This window comes from Homo sapiens, chromosome 2, assembly GCF_000001405.40.
Source record: "Homo sapiens chromosome 2, GRCh38.p14 Primary Assembly".
NCBI classification, from domain to species: domain Eukaryota; kingdom Metazoa; phylum Chordata; class Mammalia; order Primates; family Hominidae; genus Homo; species Homo sapiens.
In genome coordinates, this window is record NC_000002.12 from 96698937 (window position 1) to 96719903 (window position 20967).

The 20967-nt window shown below is 47.3% G+C and overlaps 2 protein-coding genes across 28 annotated transcripts in view; one reads left to right on the forward strand and one right to left on the reverse strand.

Moving 5' to 3' along the window:
- The window catches only part of FER1L5 (fer-1 like family member 5), a 62120-nt gene extending 56173 nt beyond the window's left edge, over positions 1-5947 (forward strand). For 13 of the 17 annotated variants that reach the window (XM_011512110.3, XM_011512119.3, XM_011512111.3 and 10 more), the window contains 12 exons: positions 109-200; positions 614-784; positions 996-1144; positions 1396-1535; positions 3019-3107; positions 3343-3465; positions 3664-3805; positions 4042-4141; positions 4217-4410; positions 4587-4696; positions 5279-5426; positions 5532-5947. In XM_011512110.3, coding sequence (XP_011510412.1) covers positions 109-200; positions 614-784; positions 996-1144; positions 1396-1535; positions 3019-3107; positions 3343-3465; positions 3664-3805; positions 4042-4141; positions 4217-4410; positions 4587-4696; positions 5279-5426; positions 5532-5756 — 1683 coding nt within the window. In that variant the 3' untranslated portion in view covers positions 5757-5947. Of the gene's footprint in view, positions 1-108; positions 201-613; positions 785-995; positions 1145-1395; positions 1536-3018; positions 3108-3342; positions 3466-3663; positions 3806-4041; positions 4142-4216; positions 4411-4586; positions 4697-5278; positions 5427-5531 lie in introns of those variants that run through there. The other 4 variants (NM_001293083.2, XM_011512114.3, XM_011512122.3 and 1 more) reach the window with 3 other exon arrangements.
- Positions 6993-20967, reverse strand: part of LMAN2L (lectin, mannose binding 2 like) — a 34136-nt gene continuing 20161 nt past the window's right edge. For 6 of the 11 annotated variants that reach the window (NM_001322351.2, NM_001322350.2, NM_001322356.2 and 3 more), the window contains 4 exons: positions 12928-13089; positions 12720-12834; positions 8778-8897; positions 6993-8462 (listed from right to left, as the gene is read on the reverse strand). In NM_001322351.2, the coding sequence (NP_001309280.1) occupies positions 8320-8462; positions 8778-8897; positions 12720-12834; positions 12928-13089 (540 nt within the window). In that variant the 3' untranslated portion in view covers positions 6993-8319. Of the gene's footprint in view, positions 8463-8777; positions 8898-12719; positions 12835-12927; positions 13090-14170; positions 14204-20967 lie in introns of all 11 variants that reach the window. The other 5 variants (NM_001322347.2, NM_001322346.2, NM_001142292.2 and 2 more) reach the window with 1 other exon arrangement.

Genomic DNA, 20967 nt, shown 5'->3' on the forward strand with positions numbered 1-20967 from the left:
GGCTCCGTGTGGTGCGAGGGGCTTGTTTCCACCCTCCTCCCACCCTCCCTGACAAACCTGGACGGCCTCCCCAGTTCCTATCCTTCCCCCACTTGTATCTGACCCCAGTGTGACCCTTATGTGATCCTGAAACTGGGCAAGACAGAGCTTGGCAACCGGGACATGTACCAGCCCAACACTCTGGATCCCATCTTTGGCATGTGAGCTGCCCCAACCCCCAAGACCCCTTCTCCACTCCTATCCACACCACACTGGAAGTCGGCCGGAGAAGGCACAGAACTCTGGCACTCCTGTCCAGCCTCCAAGTTCCCACCACAGCGTCTTACATGCCCTGGTGCTCAACAGATAGAAGACAAATATATGGGTGGGCCGGTTCTACCCTGTTTCTCACTCTGGCTGGGAGGGGAGCTCAGAGCCCCACACCAGGCCTATCCAAAGTTATTTTCAACCATAACCAGGGGATGGCGATTGGCAGAAGGCAGCCTACCCCATGCTCTGCTCTCCACAATCTCCATGAACAAACAAGGGGCCTACGGGGCCGAGACACCGGTGAGGGAGGGGGGCACAGAGACATTGCCCACATCCTCTGCAGTCTCCAACACCTCACCCCTAGGATGTTTGAACTCACCTGCAACATACCCCTGGAGAAGGACCTAGAGATCCAGCTCTATGACTTCGACCTATTTTCACCTGATGATAAGATAGGAACCACAGTCATCGACCTTGAAAACCGACTCCTATCTGGCTTTGGAGCTCATTGTGGGCTCTCCAAATCCTACTGCCAGTGAGAGTGGGCCCGTCTGGGGGAAGGGAGTCAGGTGGGGTGGAAGAGTGAGCCTACAGCTCCCTTGGGAGAAGCCTGCATCCTGGGCGGGAACCAGGGCCCAGACCTGCCCAGTCTCCACCCAAGCTTCCACCCGTGGTCAACCTGCAGCTCACAGCAGTGTTCTTCAGGACCCAAACCTCCAGACCTCTTCCTCTCACATCCCCCACAGGTCAGGGCCCTTTAGATGGCGGGATCAGATGCCCCCAAGCTACCTCCTAGAACGCTATGCCAAGCGGAAAGGGCTACCTCCGCCTCTGTTCAGTCCTGAGGAAGATGCTGTTTTCTATAATGGGAAAAAGTTCAAGCTGCAAAGCTTTGGTGAGCAGCGCAGAACACTAGCAGAAAGCACAGACACAGGCCTCTGGAAGCTGTGAGGCTCCAGAATGGAAGAGCTGCAGACTTGGGGGAGAAAGGGGAGGACAAGGAAAGAGCTCCCTGGAGCCAAAGAGCAGCCCATCCCTTTCCCCTTCACTCCTACCCAGGCTGCGGTCGGGAGGGTAAGAGCCTACCTAGGAGATAGGAAGGCTAATGACCTCGCAATCCCCTCCTTCCATCCCCCTCCAATCCAGAGCCCAAAACCCCTACTGTTCATGGTTTGGGACCCAAGAAGGAACGCCTTGCACTGTACCTCCTGCACACCCAGGGGCTGGTACCTGAGCACGTGGAGACCCGCACACTGTACAGCCACAGCCAGCCAGGCATCGACCAGGTATGAGACTGGAGGGGCCACTCCTGGCTCCTACAGGAGGAGCTAGATCAGGAGACAGAGATGCCTGTCCACCCAGGACATAGTCCACGAGAGGAGAAGGACAGGCCAAACATTTAGTAATGTACATGCACAGAAGACAAGCATGCTGTGCACATTAATAAGCAAGAAGTTCTGGTGGTGTCACTTAGAATGGAGAATTTCAGAGCTGGAAAGGTCATCTACAAGAAACAGAGGCCATGCGCCAGCTGTGGGAGGCACCAGGGAGCCCTACCAGTCAATGTCTCCATTGCCTTAAGTCTCTCCCGAGGGGTGGGAAGGTGGCGCTCAGGTCAGACAGCGCAGACATGACAACGCGGGTTCTGGCTGTTAATTGTAGGCTGTGTCTTCTTCACAGCAAATAACCCCAAACAGAGAAATAAAAATCCCCAAACGCACCTAATTATCATTCACTCTGCAGCCACCATAATGGCTCATCTCATTCTCTAAACTTCTCAAGCTCATACCACATTCCAGACAGAAAGTCCTCTGCTGAGCAAAATTTTTAAAAAACCATTCCCACAGGCCAGGTGCAGTGGCTCACGCCTGTAATCCCAGCCTGTGGGAGGCTGAGGCGGGCAGATCACTTGAGGCCAGGAGTTTGAGACCACCCTGGCCAACATGGCAAAACCTCTTTACTAAAAATACAAAAATTAGCTGGGCATGGTGGTGGGTGCCTGTAATCCCAGCTACTCAGGAGGCTTAGGCACGAGAATCGCTTGAGCCTGAGAGGCAGAGGCTGCAGTGAGCTGAGATCATGCCACTGCACTGCAGCCTGGTGACAGAGGGAAACTCTGTTTCAAAAAACAAATAAAAAACCATTCCCATTAAACCTGTTTTCTCAAATGGGTCAACTTCAGAAGAATATAATGAGGTCAGGTGGTCTGAAAGGCAGAACGTATTTGTGTATTCTTCAATGTTGGCAGTTCTCCCCTTTTCTTTCCTTTTCTCCTCCTTCTCATCCCTTACCTTCTTTCCTCTGTATGTGTGGCTAGCTTAATACCCTTAGGTTGTAGTTCATAACATAAAATGACCTGAAAATCTGGACTGGTATCTAGTTTCCTCATACTCGAGGCTATCAAGCAACACCAAGCTGCTTGATAAATGATGCCCCAACTCCGATCTGGACCCCTGTCCAGACAGGCCATCTAGCATGACCTAGGGAGTGGCATTCACCCTCCAGACCTGTCGTAAGTGGAATCCCAGCACCATGCCATCAGCCCCAAAGCTACCGTGTCCCAATCTCCCTGCACTACTCTCTCAGCCAAAAGAAAGGGGGAAGCTGGTGCGTGGTCACCTGCGGCCTCACAGATATCTCTGTACCCCACCCCTCGGTGTTGGGAACACAACCTCAACAGACCTCAGAACCTGGGACAGGGAACCCCAGGCCAGCCTGCTGAGAACAGAGGCTAGCAACCCCCAACCAGTCAATGTATCCCGGCTCTAGGGAAAGGTGCAAATGTGGGTGGACATCTTCCCCAAGAAGCTGGGGCCTCCTGGCCCCCAAGTCAACATCAACCCCAGAAAGCCTAAACGGTGAGTGACAGCCCACTTCCCAACTGCTGCATTTCACAGTTCAGAACTCCCCCAGTGCAGGGCACCACTGTCCTCAGGTACTGAGCTGCAGTAATTCGTTTCTCTATTGGGAAGAGAGGAAGCTCTACTGGGAGCTTTCTTCCCCTGAATTCCCCACACTGAGCAAAAACACACAGGGCAGCCTCCCAGGCTTCTCTGCCCTCACTGAGGCTGCAGCTGGGGAGCTCCTCCTCAGCAAAGCCTCAGAGCACAGTGGCCACAGGTATGAGCTGCGATGCATCATCTGGAAGACTGCCAATGTGGACCTGGTGGATGACAATTTAAGTAGAGAGAAGACGAGCGACATCTACATCAAAGGGTAGGGAAGAGGAGTCAGGCTCCGGCAGAGCCCCTCAGTTCCCCAGTTCTGTCATCCTGCTGGCACGGCCCAGTCCTGAATGGGACACCTCTCCATCCAGCTCTGCCTGGCGTCGGCTGGGCAGCCCTTCCCATGGGGCTCCAGCTGGGGGATGGGGCCAATGCACATGAGCCACAGGTGATAGGACTCTGGCCCCAGGTGGTTATACGGGCTGGAGAAGGACATGCAGAAGACAGACATCCACTACCACTCGCTGACTGGGGAGGCCGACTTCAACTGGCGGTTCATCTTTACCATGGACTACCTGGCGGCGGAGCGCACGTGTGTCCAGAGCCAGAAGGTAACAGGCCTGGGGCGTGAGGGGCAACAGGCCACAACAAACAGACCCAGGCTCCTGGAGCTCCTCCCCCCACCCCTCCAGAGGCTTGCAATCTGTCCCAGAACATCAGAAACATGTCCTCAGGTGGAAACCCTCTTCCTTGATAGTCTATCACTGCTGGGTGGAGGGCCACTGAGGGGTGCAAGGGAAACGTCCAGGAGACAGGCCGGTAACACGCCCTTCCGCCATTTCCCCAGGATTACATATGGAGCCTGGATGCCACGTCCATGAAGTTCCCAGCCCGACTTATCATCCAGGTCTGGGACAATGACATCTTCTCCCCCGACGACTTCCTAGGTGAGGTCCTGACACAGGGCTTGTGACCACAGGACAGGGAGCTCCTTCTTGCTGATGTCATTTTTCTGGGCTCAGGGGTCCTGGAGCTGGATTTGTCTGACATGCCCCTCCCGGCTCGGCACGCCAAGCAGTGCTCCATCAGGATGATGGACGCCGACCCCAAGTGGCCCTATTTCATCCAATACAAGCACTTCTCCCTCTTTAAGAAGAAGACTGTGACTGGCTGGTGGCCTTGCCAGGTCCTCGATGGTGGCAAATGGCGCTTGTCGGTAGGAGCTGGGGAGTGTCTACTGATTAGGGCTGCTATGCCACATGTCCTGGCTCTAACAGACATCTAGGGACCTAGCTAAATCCCTTTTCCTTTCTTGATCCCGGGAAGAGGTCCTAAAACTACCCGGCTCCTGCTGTCTGCACTCAGCCTCCCCCTCACCCATGGTGTTCCTAGGGCAAGGTGAAGATGAGCCTGGAGATTCTGTCAGAGAAGGAAGCCTTAATCAAGCCAGCCGGGCGAGGCCAGTCGGAACCCAACCAGTACCCCACACTTCATCCTCCCCTGTAAGGGTCCTTGGGGCAAAAGCACCAGATCTTTCTTGCTCCTCAGTGTGTATGGGGTGGTGACCAGTGGGCCTATCATGGAGAGGTGGTAATTACCTCCCACCCCACAGCTCTGTGCTCAGTTACAATCAGCAAAGAACAGACTTGGGGTGAGGGTTGGAGTAAGCAAAAGTTGCCTTTTTTTTTTTTTTTTTTTTTTTGAGATAATTGTCTCACTCTGTCACCCAGGCTGGAGTGTGGTGGCACAATCTCTGCTCACTGCAACCTCTGCCTCCTGGGTTCAAGCGATTCTCCTGCCTCAGCCTCCTGAGTAGCTGGGATAACAGGCACATGCCACCATGCCCGGCTAATTTTTGTATTTTTAGTAGAGACGCGGTTTCACCATGTTGGCCAGGCTGGTCTCAAACTCCTGACCTCAGGTGATCCACTCACCTCGGCCTCCCAAAATGCTGGGATTACAGGCGTGAGACACTGTGCCTGGCCCAGTAGTTGCTTTTTTAAAAAAGAAAGCTCTTTGCATCAGATTACTTGACCTGAAGGTTCTCCCTGCCATTCTCTGACATCTCCCTGGCTCCTGGACAGACGCACCAACACCTCTTTCACGTGGCTGCGGTCACCAGTTCAAAACTTCTGCTATATTTTCTGGAAACGCTATCGCTTCAAACTCATAGCCTTTATGGTCATATCGATTATAGCACTTATGCTGTTTAACTTCATCTATTCAGCTCCGGTGAGTGGCAGCCATGGGGGCAAGGACAAAGGTGGTCTCGGGATGACTCTGGGGACAGCGTCTTCAGCTTGCCACCCCAGGCTAACTGTTGTCTGTTCTCTCTAGCACTATTTGGCCATGAGCTGGATCAAACCTCAACTTCAGCTGTATCCTCCCATTAAAATATTCAATATCATCAATTCACTAAACACCAGCAACGCCAGCTCTTCCATCCTTCCCACCCAGGATCCAAACCTAAAGCCTACAATAGACCATGAGTGGAAACTCCACCCAGGACCCACAAATCACCTGAGTGATATTTTCCCAGAACTTCCAGCCCCAGGAGACTAATTAGTCCATGCTGCCTGGCTTTCCTCCTGCTACCAACAGCCCTCCCCTTGGGCTGGCTACCAGTTCTTTGTTTCTATCTTCTAGAATATATGCAAGATGCTAGGAATATTCTGGCTATTGTGTTCAGAAATCACTTTCAACAAGACGAGCAGAGCTGTAATTTTCCACTGAAATAAACAAGTTCTATAACAGAGAGCCATCTTGTAATTTGGGGGCGCTGAAGACAACATGAAAGGCTGAAGATGCCAGCCCTTCAGACAAGACTCACAGGGACAGGGAGTGATGTCATCTTTATATACCACCTCTAGTCCACAGGGTCTCTTCATGCTAAGAGGCTCGGAATCAGAGGGCAATGGAGGGAAAGGGTGATTGTGAGAAGTGGCCCTTATGGGTAAGCAGCAAGCCGAAGCACTGGCTCTCACCCACAGCATGCATGTACAGAACAGCCCTACCACGGACCAGGCATCTCCCTCCTCTAGCACAGCTAGGATGACACTGCCCAGGACAACATTCCACCCATTCATGATGGGAAACATTTGTTTCTAGAACAAAAAGCAAGAACCAAAGCAGGGCATCCTATGCCAGGTCAGGTGGTTTTCTTGCACCATACATTTCTCTAAAGGACCCCAAGGCAGGTGGGGACTGCATTTCATGTCTTCCCTGCCCTCTTTAAAAAGCCTCAAGGTATTCATGAGCTGGAATCATACAAACCCTACAGGTTCCATCTCTCTCACTCTGCCCCTCCCCTCTGATGAGACCCCTTCCACCTGCACTGCTGCCTTGGCCATCTCAAGAGCCCACCTAGGTCCTCCCACGGGTCCATACAATCTCCCCTTCAACTCAAAAAAGACAAAACCACCATTTTCTTTTTCAGTTCTCCCTGCTCCAAGGCCAAGCTCTAGGTCAGTTTGTCCTCTGGCACCCTGGAGCCATTCTACTATTGTGGAGGGGAGGTGGGAGGAAGATGCCTCCACCTGAATCCCACCTGCAGGAGAGCACTATAGCCTGTGCTGTTTAAGTGCATGGGAAGGAAAGAAAGCCTGAAGAGACAGAGACCTCTGCCTAGCCAAGGTGACCCCCTTTCCTTCTGAGCTGAGCTGAGGGCTTTTCCAACCCAGGAGAAGGCAAAACAACGGTTGATGGGCTTGAAGCTCAAAAAAAAGGCCTGCTCAGAATAAAGGCCTGAACTTTCCCCAAACCCACTCCTAGAAGAAAGAACACAGTCAGAAGCTCATGTTTGGTTCCATCGGTGATTTTAAGAATTTCATTTAGGCTACAGAGGTTCATAGGAGGACTCAGAGTTCCAGGCCCTCCAAGGAGACTCTGGCCTGTAACTGATTTAATCCCAGGGCAGTAAGGTGAGCAGCATGTAACCCCTTGTCAAATAAGGCAGTGGAATAAGGGTTGACAGAGGCCAGCACTCAGGCTGTGCTGCTCAATGACAGTGAACTCTTCCAGGCACAGATGATGAGGGTCTGTTGCTCTCAGACTTGGAACATGAGAACAGCAACTGTCTCTTGTCCATTAAGAAAAAAAAAGCCAAATTTCTTCTCTGGGCAATATCCAAGCCCAAGGTGTAAGAAGAAAGCTTCCTTACACTTTCAGCACTCAAAGTGGGATTCCAAAAATCGTAACTACAAAACATGCAGCTAAGCAGGCTCTAGCAAGTCCAGAAACATCTCCACATGGTCAGACCACATGACAAATGTTGCTTTTGGTTTGATCAAACCTGGAGCTGGTCAGTTGCACAGCTAATCCATGGCATCCATGATGTCTTCCAGGCTTCTCTTGATTTTTACACCAACCTTTAGCCAAACTTCACTGAGGGCCTGAAGAGACTTGATTGGGAAGGCCATGGACATGCCAATAGACCCAAGACCCATGCTAGGGAACAGTGATCCAAAGCAGAAAGCCATCTCCCTAGGGCCACCTAATGAAGGCCAGTGAAACGCAGGTGTGTTCTGCAGCCCCAGGCCCCAACAGAGAGGCATCCAAATGCCTTTCCCAGCTCAGGTTGCACACAGAGAGGACAATGAATGGAGTGAAAGGAAGGTAAGGCAGGGAAGAAGTTTCCATCCTGGTTTCCAAAGAAAGCTCCTCAGGTAGGCAGAGGGTTGGGTCAAATGCAAAACCCAACGAATGGATGGTCAGAAAGCCTGTGGTGTTACCAGTTTTTAATTCTTTGTGGATTCAAAACTGAAGTAGAAGGGCCTTCTGAGTCAAACAACACGGCAGCCTGGGCTATGAAATTCTGTTCTGTGATTTTGGCATCACAACCACGTAAATTCTCTTCACACCTCTGCTCCCACATGGAAGGACTGCAGGGAAAGGCACATCACAGCAGCATTGCCCTGGGGTGGGTGGCTTCCCAGACCAGAGTTAGATGTCCCCATGCACAACCATGGGAATGCGGGGTCCCTGCATTCAAAACTCCAGTGACAGAATATAGTCCCCAACCAGCTGCTAGAGACAAGAACACTCTCCAGGCTGCATGCTCAGGCCAGTGCCTGCTCCTTCCATACCTCATGGGTGACAGTCACAAAAGTGGTGGCAGCAGGAGGGCTCAGTAGAAGCGCTTTCGGCTCTGTTCCTGCCATTTGTTGTAGAGTATGATACCAATGACTATGGCAAATACAGAAAACACCAGGGAGAAAAAGACGATGAGGAAGAGGGCCAGGCCACTCAGGGGCGGCAGTGGAGCTGTCACTGAGGAAGCAAGAGAGAAGCAAGTCAGAAAACAGGGAGCCCACCCAATAGGGAAGGATCAAACTATAGGCTGTCCGGCCCCCAGTTTCTGACACCTACTTCTGGGAAGCCAGAGCTTAGACCCCCTCTTTCCAACTGAGAAACAAAGCGGCCCTCCTGCTGCTCATCTGTAACTTGAAGGGGAAAGGCAGATGAAAGTGCTCCCTACCCTTCAGAAGAAGAACACAGAGCAGAGACCGCCCTGTGAGCTATGGGTACAGCACTGCAAGCTCCTCCCCAACTATGGGACCATTTCCCGCGGGCCCCTGTGCTCACTCTCAGGCAGCTTCATATTGTCCACTGAGGGCAAGAACACATCTCGATGGAGCTTTTCCTCTTCTGGGGTTCTCTCCACTGTCAGTTCAAACAACTTCAAGGAAATGACATCATGATTATCTGAAGAAAAATGGAAGAAGGATGACTTGTGCCACTTGAAAAAGAGGTATGTTTCTTGAAGTCAGTATCTTAGTTCAAGCCTCTGATCCACAGCTAACCAGCAGTGACCTTGAAAAAATAATTGAAACCTCTCCATTTTGCAACTAAAAATAAGGATGGGGAACAAGGCATATTCTATATCTTCTGTATTTAAGTTTTTATCAACAAGCATGCATTACCTGTATAGAAGATCGCTGACTTAAAATGGTTCGACTTACAATTTTCCAACTTTATGATGGTGTGAAAGTAATCTGCGCTTAGCAGAAACCATACTTCAAAATTTGAGTTTTGATCTTTTCCCAGGCTAGCGATGTGTAGTACAACACTCTGTACTGAGGCTGGGCAGCAGCAGTGAGCTGTAGCTCCCAGTGAGCCACACAATCACAAGGGTAAACAACCAGTACTGCATCGTGTACTGTATTCCATACGTTACATCAGACATTCAACACTTTGTTACAGAATAGGCTTTGTGTTAGATGATTTTGCCCAACTGTAGGCTAATGTAAATGTTCTAAGCACATTTAAGGTAGACTAGGCTAAGCTATGATGTTCAGTAGGGTAGGTGTATTGAATGCATTTTCAACTTACAATATCTACAACCTACAATGAGTTTATTGGGACATAACGCCATTGTATGTCAAGACGCATCTGTATAATTAAAAAATTTGGAGATAAAACCACAATTAAATCCCATATGTTAAACCTTCCAGCACAGTAAGAACAGACAAAGTAGGACTGCAGCTTCCCCGCTGGTGAAGACCACACACGTGCACACACACACACGTACAACAGGAAAAGGTCTCATGGCCGCTGTTTAATGGGCCATGGGCAGGGCACAGCTATGGGCATGGGATACACTGCCCTTCTAGACTATGCCTGTTTCTCTGTGGCTTCTTGTACTTGTGACTCTTAATCTCCCTAATAATTACCAGAGAGAAGATCAAGCAATTAGGGACTAGATTTCTCTCTTTAAAGTATCATTATAAACTCCTACATTTAACCATATCTGATGTGTTGCAATGCACTGAAGTTAGACTTTTTTTTTTTTTTTTTTTTTTTGAGACAGAGTTTTGCTCTTGTTGCCCAGGCTGGAGTGCAATGGCACGATCTCGGCTCACTGCAACCTCTGCCTCCCAGGTTCAAGCAATTCCCCTGCCTCAGCCTCCCAAGTAGCTGGGATTACAGGCATGCACCACCACGCCCGGCTAATTTTTTGTATTTTTTTTTTAGTAGAGATGGGGTTTCTCCATGTTGGTCAGGCTGGTCTCGAACTCCCAACCTCAGGTGATCCACCTGCCGTGGCCTCCCAAAGTGCTGGCATTACAGGCGTGAGCCACCGCGCCTGGCCTGAAGTTAGATTCTTATTGATGCTCAACTCACCTGTCTTTGTCAAGTAGGAGCCTATTCAGTTTGGCTCCTGCGTCTCTTTACATAAACCCAGAAGTTTTTTATAACTTCCTTGCTTTTCTGGGAAGTTCCAACTTATAGATTTCCTACCTCAAACCCTGCATCAGCCATTTCTCAAGGAAGCTGCAGTTCCTTTTAGGGGGAATTGGTATTTAGAGACCACAAATCTGAGTGCTAGGGGTGCTCATTGCTACTAGGTTGGTTACTGACTGGGGCCTGGATTTCTGGTCATTTATAAGGAGAGCATCCACAGCTGCTTGGACTGCTAGAATCTTTAGCAGATTCCCAGGTAGTGAAAAACTGGATTCATCTTCTGTTGGAAAAATGTTAACTGTCAGAGCTCAGTTTAAACCATGGGACAGGATAAAAGGCCAGGGCAATGCTCCTCATGCAATGCAGGGCATTAAAGCCTGGAACGGCTGGGAAACATCCTAACTTTCTCAGCAGTTTTCAACAACCTACTATACAACAAGTAAGAGGATGGCAACAAGAAAGACCTCAAAAGAAAGAAACAACTTGCATTTAGGGATACCCTATGGGCAGAGAACACAGACTTACTAACTTGGGTATTCTCACTAAAGACCTAGGGCAAAAAACTTAGACTAAACAAAAAATTATTCTCCCCTGCCATTTCTGACAGTTGGGGACTTTCCATTAAAAAGTACGTCAGGAGGTTAACCCAGAAACCTGTAAGCTCAAAGGAAAATGTGTAGTCATATAATGAGATTATATAGCAAAGATCTCCAGCCTATGCCTCCTATCCCCCTGCCGAGACTAAATTTTTCCCACAGGTCTGGCCTGCTCGGTACTTAGAACCTAATTGCCAAAACTAATCTCTCTGCATGACAGAAAGCAGATCAATGGTTGCCTGGAATCCAAGAAGGGGAGGAATACTGCAAAGGGGGATAATAAGGCTTTTGGCAGGTGATGGAAACATTCATATCTTAATTGTGATGGTGACTACATAGGTGTAAATATTTGTCAAAACTCTTCAAACTGTATTCTTCTGTTGTATGGAAAGCACACCTCAGTAAAGTTGATTTTAAAAAAATCAGATGCCAGAGTTTTAAAGATCAGCAGATTGCATTTTAAAAATCCAGATTATCCAGGCTGGGCTCAGTGGCTCATGCCTGTAATCCCAGCACTTTCGGAGGCCAAGGCGGGCGGATCACAAGGTCGAGATGGAGACCATCCTGGCCAACATGGTGAAACCCCGTTTCTACTAAAAATACAAAAATTAGCTGGGCGTGGTGGCGCGCCTGTAGTCCCAGCTACTTGGGAGGCTGAGGCAGGAGAATCGCTTGAATACAGGAGGTGGAGGTTGCAGTGAGCTGACATGGCGCCACTGCACCCCAGCCTGGCGACAGAGCGAGACTCCATATATATATATAAAAAAAAATCCAGAATTCCAACTGCTCTTGAAAAACTGGAAGATTTAGCCTCACTGAGCTGACATTTCCTTTTAGCTACAATGGCTGGAGCTCACTAGCTGTCGGCTTTTTCAGATGGGTATCTGCCTTTCTATTTTGCCACAAGAAACTTCTATTCCAAACTAGCTTTATCCAGAACAAATTATATTAATCAAAAGAAACAGAAGTTCAGTTCCTTTTCTCTTCCCAAAAGATGTTATGATTGGGGTTCAAGCAAAGAGAGTAAGTGTATAAACGAGAAGCTACGAATCAGGCATAAGTAGAAAAAGAAACAAGAGGAGATGGAAAAGTAAAAGAACCAGGTGCTGTTAATGTCACATAAGTCAAGAAGGCAAGAGTTTCAGGGTAATGGGTTAAATGAGCTGAGGAGGACAAAGGGTGAGAACGAGAATAGAGTACTGAATATGGCAAGGAAACAGAATGACCTTTCATGAGAATGGTGTTAGTGTACTAGCAAGATAGAGCACAGGTCTGAGTCAGCATGTTAAGGAGGTGGACAGCTAGGAAACAAAAGGATCTGTACACACAACACATTCAAAAGTCTCAGCAAAAGGAGAGTCTGGGGTCAGAAGAGGGACGGCAAAGTCAAGGAAAAGCTTTGTTAAGGAAGGGGAACGGGGAACATTAGTGGTTGGAAGGAGAGGAGCCTGACAGCAGAAATCAGAAAGCAAGGAACTCACGATACAGGCTAGAAGAGCCAGCTTAATGAAGGGACAAACACTGCTTTCTATTAGCACCAACCATCTTCTAGTGACAACTGTACTAGGAAAGCCTGGCGTGGGTTTTTAAGGAATGTGGATATAAGAATGCAGAAGGAGAAGCAGTCTTGAGGCACCTCCTTCCAGAGCACCGCTCCTCTGGCTCTCCCCTGTGAGAGGCCTCAATGAAGTGTGGGTATTGAGAAGAGGCCTCAGTCAGGGCAAACCAAGAGTGCGCGTGGCAGTACCTGAGAGATCCCCAGTGATGGAGGAGGTGCCGAAGTAGTAGCCGCGGGGCAGGCGGACTCCGGGCACTTCAATGCAGTCCCTCCACTCATGCTTGCCATCAATATCCATCATTATCTAGAATAAAAAGAGAGATAAATCAGGGTCAGGCCATGGGAGCAAGAGCGACACAGCCCACACCACCATCTGGTCCAGGACAAGGACTCTCACCGTCAAATGCCTCTTGACGTAGCGAATCACCAGGAAGGTGTCGTAATGAAGATTGCGGACAATGGCTGTGCAGCCTCCCAGCTCTGTAGGCCGCCCATCCCGCTCATGATCATAGCTGAGGGAGCCGTTGTTCACCATGGCTGAGATGTAGGGGAATACCCGCTGGAAAGCAGAGAGGGGGAAGCAGACACTAAGGAAGAGCACATAGGAACGCCTGTACAAACAGCAACAGGAATTCAGCACATACAAGTTGAGCCCCTTACAGCAGAATAGGCAGCCACTCGACCTCATTGTCAGCAGCCCCTGAGAGCCCACATTCAGATGGTCTCTCAAGGGAAATGGGCCCAGGAAGCGACTACACTTGGTATTTGCCTTCAGTAATTCTCTTGGCTCCTGAACTGGGGTGGGCCTGAAGTGGTCCTCCTAAGACGCTGGAGTCTGACTTGAATGCCCCAAGGTCACCATTTGGCACTTATGTGCCGCCTAATACCAGGGGTTTCCTTTTCGTGTATATGTACCTATCTCCCCAACTGCCACATAAGCTTCTTGAAGAAAAAATTCATTCATCACGTCTTCATATGTCTAAACTTCAGCCCCATCTCCTCCCAACCATGGTTCTGCACACAGCGGGTATTCTGAAAATACCTGTTTGAGCAGGGGAATCTTTCCATTCAGGATAGCTCTTTTCAATTCTAAAATTCTATAAGCATATAAGGCTAAATGGATTAGAACTCAGAACATGGAACGGGGTTGCTGGATGGGCTCAGCCAGCCACAATGACTGTCCTTAGTCAAAAGACTTTCCAGCCCACTTAAGCCTCCTCCACACGTAACTTCTCCGAATAATAATAAGAGGGCAAGGTTCTCCCTTAACAGGGAGAAAATTGCAAGTTTTCCCATAAGCCACTCATTTTCCCATCTATTTCAGGGGCCCTCTCTCCCCAGTAGAGTTGTAGGAGCAATTCTTCCTTAGAAATGGCGAACTAATCATTCCAGAACAAGCCCAATGCCAAGGCAGTGCAAAAAGGCAGGGTAGTGAGGTGGTGAAGGGGTAACATGAGGCATGCCACTCCTTTGGGGAGTATTTGTCCCTTTGTCCCAAATGGTTAACATGCAAGATGGAGATGCAGTCGAGACCAGAGACCGGGGACTCCTGAGACAACCACATGGACTTGAAACAGCAACAAATGTTGGATGGACACATGGGAATGAGGGATGCTCATGATGAGCCAAGAACTGAGTACCTGGACTCCTGGAGAATATCGCCTCTTCTGGGCCTGAGAGGGTCCAGCAGGTTATGATAAAAACAAGAGAGGGCACAGAAGACAGGAGACCAAGTCAGAAAGACACAGCCACAGAAGAGCTATGACCCAGCTGTGATGGATGAACAAACCAACTTAAATCCCCAAACAGAATTTTAGGGTCCCTGAAGGGCATCCGTGAAGTCTTTGCACCCTCAAGATGATAGGCAAAACCATATGCACGGGTGCTTGTACATTTTTCTGAGGAGAGGGTCTGTTACTATATCAGATTCTCAAAGGGGTCCCCTAGGAAGACCGCTCTAACCCATAGAGGGTCCTGAAGCTTTTGGAAGGCACTTTATAAAACACATAGCAGTACGCTGTCCAGGCACGCCGCACTTATGTCTCTGGGAGTCAGTCTCAAGTTTGTCTGTACCCAGCCTACTGTATTTCTATAGCAAGGGGAAAGAGGAGACAACAGGGCTAAATTCTTCCAAATTCAAGACATCCTTTACTATCCAGGATCTCAGGAAACAGCTCCTGCCCAGAAGACCAAAATCTTGCCACTTGAGAGACTATGAAACTAACTCTAATCCAAAGGGATCACTTACCCTCTAACTGAGCCTTATGGTCATATATTCCCAAATAACTATTGTCATTCTAACCTACCACACATAGGCAAGGAAGAAGCTCCATGGAGGCATTGCAGAATGACAGATTTAGAAAATCATCAGGCGTGAGGGTATTAAGCTCTGCTCCAGCAAACAGCTGCAGTTCTAAGCCATTAGCGACAAGAGGTACCTACACAAGCTCAGCTCAGCTCTGCCCTGTGGGACAGGTAGGCGAGGGTACAGAACTCAAACCCTTCACTCCTTTAATACGGTGAACACCTACTACAAGCCAGGTACTGTTCCAGATGCTGAGGGTCCAAAGAGAAACAAGACAGACAGGAATGGAATTAAGATCAGAGTGGAAGAAACAAACAACAAAGAAGCAAATAAAATTATTTCAGATAGTGAAAAATGCTATAAGGAAAATAAAATAGGTAATACAAGGGATGGGCAAGGGAACCTCTCCCTGAGGAGGCAATATCTGAGCTGAGACTCAAGTAATTAGAGGGAGTCCACCAAAAGATCTGAGGGCACAAGAAGCATGAGGGTGGCACATTCAAGGAACTGGAAACAGATCAGTCAGAATCACAGCTTGTGAGAAGAGGCTGCCATGAGGCAAGGCAGCACCCACGGCACTGGGCTCCATGGGCCACAGCCAGGAGTCCGAGGCTGCAGTGCAGATCCCCTGCCGTCCTCCTCTTAACACCACTGGCAGAATTCATACAGGACACAGAAAGGCATGACATCAATCCGTGGATGATTAAACTGGCATGAAGTTAATCTTCAACAACTACCATTTAGAACAAGGAAATGGTGAGCATGTTATCAAGCAGTTTACAGAAACTGGCATCTGAGAGTATGCTCATAATTTCAGTGACAATTAAGAAAAAGGGATTAAAAATGCCCTGTGGAGCTCTGATGAGCCCAAGGCTTCCTTCACTCATCACCTCTAGTAACCCTGATTAGAAGTTTAAGTTGCAACTTTAAAGAGATAGCAATCTCCTATGTTAGCTTGCTTAGAAAATAAACAAATAATAAAGAGACAGCAATCCTTAGCCTAAGGGTGCCTTACTCTTCCCAAGGCTGGTGTGGACCCAGTTCCAGGTAACAGCCAGAGGCATGCTGGACCTTGGGAGCACCTGAAGGAGCTTGTTAACTGCACGTATACATGGGTCCCTCAGTCAAAGAGTCTCATTCGTATGGCTAGAGTGGGGTGCAGGATTGTTTTTTGTTTGTTTTTTTGAGATGGAGTCTCACTCTGTCACCCAGGCTGGAGTGCAGTGGCGAAATCTTGGCTCACTGCAACCTCCACCTCCTGGGTTCAAGCAATTCTCCTGCCTCAGCCTTATGAGTAGGTGGGATTACAGGCGCTCGCCACCATGCCCAGCTAATTTTTGTATTTTTAGTAGAGATGGGGTTTCACCATGTTGGTCAGGCTGGTCTCGAACTCCTGATCTCGTGATCTGCCCGTCTTGGCCTCCCAAAGTGCTGGGATTACAGGCGTGAGCCACCGCACCCAGCCAGGATTATGTATTTTTAAAAAGCACCACAGAAGGCTGTGATGTGCAGCCAAATTGAAGAAACGCTGCACCAGACAGGGAGCCTCACAGCTTTGCAACTACAGAGAATCTGTCTACTTCGGCAACACGAGTTGGCCTTCAACTTTTAACCTCACATTAGTGTAAGTCACTAAATGCCATCTTATTTTCTACGCCTAGTCAAGAGTTCCTGGAAGTATTTCTTGGATAACCACTAATTTCACACAGGAGCAATTTTGTTTTTCCCCTAGAAAGCACTCTGTAAGTTAGAACCAAAGATTGAAGAATCACACTGGTTCAGGCAAGGTGGTAGTTTTATTCCTAATTTAAGAGTCACCAGAAAGGAGAAACTCTCACCTGTTTTATCATCCAAAGGACTGTTGTTTAAAGGGTGGAGAAATGTTTTCAACTTTTTGTACTACAAGACTACTTTTAAAAAAGTGTTTTTTGAAGACCTCTACGGGATAACTGTATCTTCAGCATATTTCGATGGAAAAGACACCCATTAGCTTGTGGATTTATGGATTCTAGGCTAAAATTCCAAATGGCCTCTGTAATTAGGGAGACCTGAGTTCTAACTGCAGTTATGTCACTTATAGCTGTGTAACCCTTCGGTGGATTACATCACCTCTTTGAGATTCTATTTCCTCACTGTAAACAGAACAATACAAAGCTCACAGGGTTCATTATGAAGATGAAATGAGATATGCGAAGCATTTAGTACAATGTCTTGGTGTTCAGGAGGGAGTCAATAAACATTCAATCAGTGACTAGTGTATTTCTAGATACAAATATCGTTCACAGGTACTCATATATATATAAACACAAAGCCAAACATACATCTTCTAAAGCACGAATTCCCAGACCACTGGCTGTGATCAACCATTAATATTTCCAAAAATATTTTGGAGAGTATTAGATTTGGCTTCTTTTTATTGCCTACTAAAAATATTAAAATACAATAATGACAGAACAATCATCTATAATAAACATCATTTTACAAAGGGACACTTTAACACCAAAAGATGAGAGAGAACAATGTAATTTCATAATGAAACAACTGAATACATTTAGCACTTAAGAAAAAGAACTTCATTATTATGATTCTTGCACCAGTGAAAACTCTGTTACCACACAACTGGAGTTCATACACTGGCATCTAGGAGCCACTCTTTTAGAGCAGTGTTTCCATCTCAAACCATACCATTGTCTAGTAAGCTGACCATTTGCTTTTGGGAACCCAGATGTGAAGAAGTGAAGGAGGGGAGAGGAAGAGAGAACAGAACTAAGATGTTTGCAAAATGTCCCTTAGGAATCCACTGAATGGTGTGAATAATAGCTGGTGTTTATTGAGCACTTAGTCTGTGCCAGGCACTGAACTCAGTAATGAGCCCTTCTGCATTTAATTCTCACAATCCTATGAGGTAGTATCAGTACTCCTCATTTCACAGGTAAAAAACTTGTCCAGGATAACACAGGCATTAAGTAGTGAAATCAGGATTTGAAACCAAGTATTCTGGCTCCAGAGCCCTGACTCAATCACTGGGATACACTGCTTTCAATATCTCTCAATATGGAAAAATGTTTCATATGTATTATTTTTTTAAAATCAGGTCTAAACAGTATGTACTCTGAAGCACAAAGAGAACGCTGAGAATAGTTCCAGATTAAAGGAGAGTAACAACTGAATACAACACAGGATCTGGGACTTTCTTTCATTATAAAGGACATATTGGGACAATAGGTGAAATATGAATAAGGCCTGCAGATTAGATAATGGTATTGTTACAAATGTTAACTTCCTGATTTTGATCACTGTGCTGTGGCTACATAAAATAACTTTTTTTTTTAAACACACACACACACACAAGTATTTAGGATTAAGGAGACATCATGAGAGCAATTTACTCTTAGTTCAGAAAAAAAGACACACAAGCACAAACATACACGCAAGACACATACACACAGACACACACACACAAAGAAAGAGGTTAAAGAAAAGGATGGCCAGGTGTGGTGGCTCACACCTATAATCCCAGCACTTTGGGAAATGAAGGTGGGAGGATTGCTTGACCCTAGGAGTTTGAGACCAACCTGGGCAACATGGCAAAACCCCATCTCTACAAAAAGATAGCTGGGCTTGGTGGCATGCACCTGTAGTCCCAGCTACTTGGGAGGCTGAGATGGGAGGCTCTATTGAGCCTGAGAAGTTGAGGCTACACTAAGCTGTGATTGTGCCACTGCACTCCACCCTGGGTGACAAAACCAAACCCTGTGTCGGAAAAAAAAAAAAAAAAAAAAGGACGGCCAGGCGCAGTAGCTCACACCTGTAACCCCAGCACTTTGTGAGGCCGAGGCAGGTGGATCACCTGAGGTCGGGAGTTCGAGACCAGCCTGACCAACACGGAGAAACCCCGTCCCTATTAAAAATACAAAATTAGACGGGCATGGTGTCATATGCCTGTAATCCCAGCTACTCAGGAGGCTGAGGCAGGAGAATCGCTTGAACCCAGGAGGCAGAGGCCACAGTGGGCCAAGATCGTGCCACTATACGCCAGTCTGGGCAACAAGAGCAAAACTCTGTCTCTAAAAAAAAAAAAAAAAATAGGGACAAAGCAAATGTAGTAAAACATTAACATTTTCGGAAATCTGGGTGAAGAACATTCCAAAATTCTCTTGTTATATTTTTTCCCCCTAAAGGACCAACTTTTTTTTCTTTTGAGATGAAGTCTCACTCTTGTCCTCCAGGCTGGAGTGCAATGGCGCGATCTCGGCTCACTGCAACCTCCACCTCCCGGGTTCAAGCGATTCTCCTGCCTCAGCCTCCCAACTAGCTGGGATTACAGGCACCTGCCACCAAGCCCGGCTAATTTTTGTATTTTTAGTACAGACAGGGTTTCACCATGTTGGCCAGGCTAGTCTCAAACTCCTGACCTCAGGTGATCCACCCGCCTTGGCTTCCCAAAGTGCTGGGATTACAGGCGTGAGCCACTGTGCGTGGCCGGTTGTATTCTTATAACTTAATCATAAGCACAAAATTATTATCAAATAAAGATTAATCTGAATCTAGTATTTACCATACAATTTTTCTGCTTTTCTCAATTTTTCTATATATCTGCAATTTTTTAAACATTTAAAAAGGTTTTAAAAACAGTATTTACAACATGATACAATGTCTTTGTTTTTAAAGATGTTTGTACGCTTTTGTTTTTTCAGCATTTTCTAATTCTCCTGTAATGTATATAAAAATAATTAACAAAACAAATGCCTTCTACTAGATGCTACTAAATGTGAAGCATCTCCCACCACACCTCCATTTCATCCTCCCTGGGATCACTAGCGGAACACACTGTCACTTACACACGTAGACCTGTCACTTTTTCAAAGCTGTATAAGCTGCTGGTCCTACAATAATCTTCATCTAGCCCTTTATGCAGAAATCCAGACAAAGAGGAGACAATACCCATCCTATTTAAAGTGAAAAGAAGATCAGTGAGATTCGTTACACATTACTAGGCAGCCTGAGAAGGCCCTTGCTCTGTAAGCCCCCAGACTCCCACAAAGCTATGCTAGGGACTCTGTCCCCAGGACTCACAGCTTCTCAACTGGAGGACACAGAAAAGTGGCACTTCCAGGTCTGGAAACCTTCATATAATTGAATATCATCACGCTCTCTTAAGAAACTCACGGAATGATCTCAATCTCATTTATCTTAGTCCTCAAATCAAGTAATTTGAGGACTTCAATAAAGAGTACTCCAAAATCAGGAGACTAAATTTGAGGTGTGCCCCAAGCACTGACCTTTATAACCTACCCACCCAGATTACAAGTACCAAGTTTCAGAATAGAGCCCATTATGTATGTCTTTATTTCACTGCTGACCATCATTCTGATAGTATGTCAATACTTCTTGTTAATGAGAAGAGCCATCAATTCTATAGAACAGGAGATCTTCAGATCTCCTAAAATCATGTCAACTCTTCTGTGTACATGCCTCTTTCTTGGGTCCAACACTTTAATCAGAGTCTCGAAAGGGTCAAAGCCCAAAGAAAAGAACTAACCCAGGAATAAGCATCCTCTGGAGCACTGGCCCTTGCTTTCTTCCTTTCTCCCTCTTTCACTGTCTCAGAAAAGAAACATGTTAAAATTCTCTCTGCCAACAGTAAAGAGACCACTTTGGGATCAGTGTCTTCATCAAGACAAAGACTTAAGGGGACTGAGTGTGGTGGCTCATGCCTGTAATCCTAGCACTTCGGGAGGCCAAGGGAGGAGGTCACTTGAGTCCAAGAGTTCAAGACCAGCCTTGAAAACATAGCAAGACCGTATCTCTACAAAAAAAAAAAAATTTTTTTTCTTTTTTTGACACAGAGTCTCACTCTGTTGCCCATGCTGGAGTGCAGTGGCGTAATCTCGGCTCACTGCAACCTCCGCCTCCCAGGTTCAAACAATTCTTCTGCCTCAGCCTCCCAAGAAGCTGGGATTATAGGCATGCGCCATATCCCAGCTAATTGTTGTATTCTTATTAGAGACAGGGTTTCACCATGTTGGCCAGGCTGGTCTCGAACTCCTGACCTCAAGTGCTGGGATTATAGGCATTGGCCACTGCACCTGGCCAAAAAAAGTAAAAATTAACCTGGCATGATGGCCACCT